Here is a 3,773-nt window from a genome sequence, read left to right on the forward strand (position 1 = left end):
TCTATCTATCGTCTACCCTATCCGTTCTGTTTCTTTGGAGACCCTAGCTAATACCTCTAGAATAGTCGAATTCATAGAGAGAGAAAGAATGGTGGTTGTCAGTGGCTGGGAGGAGGAAGGAATAGGGAGTTGTTCGATGGGTGCAGAGTTTCAGTTTTATAAGACGAAGAGCTCTGGGACTGGATGGTGGTAATGGTTGCTCAACAATGAGAACGTACTTAATGCTACTAAACTCTGTGCTTAAAAATGGTTAAAATGGTCCATTTTAATCTTACATGTATTCTACCACAATTTAAAAAACTATTTGCTACTAATTCACACGTTGCTTCCCTCTTTCATGAATCACAAGATGTTTTCTAAGAGGCCTACAGTGATTTCAGGGGCAGAGGGGTGAACAAGAAGAGCCCCCATTCTCTGCCCCAGCAGGCTGTGACCTGGTGAAGAAGACAAGCCCAAACAAGTAATAAGGGGCCCAGGTCTGAAGGTTCAGAATGAAATGACTTTTCTCCAGCATCTAGAAGTCACCTTCAGGAAAGCCCATTTTGAGATTTTGGACTGGTATAATTTATAATCACTGGATCATGGAATATGAGGCTGCTAAGGGTCTTCAGATATTCAGATATCGCCAGGACGACAGCCACCTCCTATTGATGAGAACACTGGGATACAGGGTTTTCTGTGAGCAGCTCAAAGCCCCATGGCCAGGGAATCCTTGCACATAATCCCACCCAGCCTCTGGTTTTTATATTTGTCCACAGAGCTTTCCTTTTCACAGCCAATATTCATAAGGAAGGAGTCAGTGTCACCCATGGTCTGTCCAGTGGAGTAAGGTCCTCAGATTTCCAGGGGAGAAGTCCAACCTGCAGGGGCAAGACACACATGAAATGATAACTCAGGCCTTGCAGAGCACGTGTTTCTTAGATACCCTTGTATCTAAGGGTATCTAAGGGTATCTAAGTACCCCAAAGCGAGTCCTCAGATGCTGAAATGCTTTGTGTTAATCTCAGGCAGCCTCATCCCTGAAGTCATGTTCTCAGCTTCCTAACAGAACAACAGCATTTCAGGGTGAAGCTGGCATTTCAGCCCAGGCCACCAGCATAGGTTTGTGATCTTAATAAAACCAACATTGGCCTTTTATTTCCTGGAGGTGGCAGAGTTTTCACGGTGTGTAGGATAAAAACACCAATGGATCCTTTACGCTCTCTTGAAATAGAAATCTGAGAAACGTATTCAGGAGGCCACCGCTGGGAACTAGCTCATGTGAAGCACATCAACTCTCCTGGCGCTTTTCAAAATCCTTACTTATTTCCCTCAAAGTTTGAAGATGTGAAAATTCAGACTAAGGATATAAGATGTATTAAATTGAAAAGTATCAAAAAGGGACTTGCTTTGTGTGATGGTTAATTGTATGCGTCAACTTGGCTGGGCCATGGTGCCTGGTTGTTTGGTCAAACACCAGTCTCCATGTCGCGGTGAAGGCGATTTTTAGATGTGGTTAACATTTAAATCAGCTGTCTTTGAATAAAGCCTAGAATCCTTCATAATGTGGGTGGGCCTCATCCAATCAGTTGAAGGCCATAAAAGAAAAGACAGAAGTTCCCTGAAGAGGAAGAAATTTTGCCTCCAGACAACCTTTGGATTCAAGACTGCAACATCAACTCTTACTGGAATTTCCAACCTGACAGTCTGCCCTGCAGATTTCATACTTGCCAGCTCCTATAATTGTGTGAGCTAATTCCTGCTCTCTCTCTCCCTGCCCCCTCTCTCTTTTCGTGTGTGTGTGTATGTGTGTGTGTGTGTACATTATATACAGTTGACCTTTGAACAACACAGATTCAAACTGCATGGGTCCACTTATACATGGATTTTCTTCCACCTCTACCACTCCTGAGAGAAAAAGACCAACCCCTCCTCTTCCTCTTCCATCTACTCAACATGAAGATGACCAGGATGAAGAGCTTTATGATTATACACTTCCACTTAATAAATAGTAAACATATTTTCTCTTCCTTATGATTTTCTTAGTGACATTTTCTTTTCTCTAGCATACTTTATTGCAATAATACAGTATATAATGCATATAACATACAAAATATGTGTTAATCAACTGTTGATGTTATGGGTAAGACTTCAGATGAACTGTAGGCTATTAGTAGTTAAGTTTTGGGGGAGTCAAAAATTATATGCAGATTTTGAACCGCACAGGGAGTTGAAACCCTCAACCCACTTGTTGTTCAAGGGTCAAGTGAATATACATATATCCATTATATATACATATATATATATATATATATATATATATATATATATATATATATATAGTGTGTGTATATGTGTCTGTGTGTGTGTATCTCATATTGGTTCTATTTTTCTGCAGAACCTTGACTAATAGATTTAGAAATCAATCATTGGTACTCATGAAAATATGAGTCAAGCTTTTAGGTGAAAATACTGAACTTTATTTACTGGTTTCTTATTTGTTCTTTGGCATTTTCTTTGATAAAACACACTTAATATAAGGGTAAATTTGTACTTTCTTCAGAGCTATTCCAGGACTCTAGAATTTTCTCTAGTCCTTACTCTGTCCTTTCTTTAATCTCTTCCAGAGCCAGAGTCTTCCCCTCTCTGCAGCCCCATCTCGAGGTGTCCTCTCTCCTCCTCTTCTCACCTCCTTCTTTGAGCTCCATGCCTTTCCTTGCCTTGCAGCTCAGACCTTGTTGCTCCCTGTTCTTTGCTTCCCCGAAGAAGAAAGTCTCTCAGCCCCCACACTCCTCATAGAGGTGTCTATGGCCCCGGTGGGGGCTGTCCGGTGAAGTCAGAGCGCGACGGAGCCTGCCTGTGCGTGATTCGTGGCTGCTGAGACTTGATACCAGCAGAGGGGCTTTGCCCTGCCATGTGTTCACTAGCCGCTCAGCCTATTCCCAGGCCCCTCATCTCCAAGACCAGCAGCCCCGCTTCTGTGTGGGTGGTAGTGATCCAGGTGGTGTGAAGTGCAGGCAGCTCCACCAGAGGTCAGCCCTTAAGCCCTGCAACAGCCTGCGGCAGAGCCAGGAGGACTCTTGCAGGCAGGGAGCTGATGGAGGGATGGGCCCAGCGCCTTCTGGGTCCGTGCAGGGGGCGGGGCAGGGAGAGGATGGTGGCAGGACCAGGACCTGCCCCGGCACTCCCAGTGCTCTCTGCTGGGCCCTTCTGCCCGTTGCCTTCCTCCCACCCTAGGCAGAGCCCGAACCTCCACCCAGCCCCACCTGCTTTGGGTCCTTCTTGGGATCTGATTCCAGACTCTTTTGGGCTTTATCCAGCACACTTTCACTCACTTCCACCACCTCCTCTATGCCGCAAAGGAAACGCCACCTTCGATGTGTTTGAGTTATGTAAATTAAAATAGTGTGATATAGGAAAGATTTTAAAAACCTCACTCTAAATGAGATGGATCTTCTCCAAACTAAGAAAAACAGTCACTGAGAATTGCATTCTATAATTTCAAAGCTTGCAAGCACAGCCAATTCTGACTCGTCTTCGTGCTGTCGTCATATGCTAGGGATACTTCCACTGAAAAGAAATTCCTACCCAGCTTTTAAAAGAATAATATGAAGCACGTGGCTGTTCGTTTGCATCTGAACTTCTGTGAGCAACCATTGTCGTGCAATTTTAACATCGTTATTATCTCCTATGGGAACGTCATCTAAGCCATCGAGAAGTGGTGGTACCGTTGCTGTGTGACAATCTGTGTCCTTAAATCAGAAGTCAGTGGTGACAGGCCGGGCACGGTGGCT

At 44.3% G+C, this 3,773-nt stretch overlaps 1 annotated feature.

The window, feature by feature from the left end:
* Window positions 3,023–3,570: an enhancer, noted in NCBI's record as "H3K4me1 hESC enhancer chr2:236022675-236023222 (GRCh37/hg19 assembly coordinates)". NCBI's record gives its function as "activates a minimal SCP1, AML or CMV promoter by ChIP-STARR-seq in primed H9 embryonic stem cells {active_cell/tissue: H9 hESC(primed)}" and the evidence as "EXISTENCE:reporter gene assay evidence [ECO:0000049][PMID:30033119]".

Source organism: Homo sapiens, chromosome 2 (genome assembly GCF_000001405.40).
Source record: "Homo sapiens chromosome 2, GRCh38.p14 Primary Assembly".
NCBI classification, from domain to species: Eukaryota; Metazoa; Chordata; class Mammalia; order Primates; family Hominidae; genus Homo; species Homo sapiens.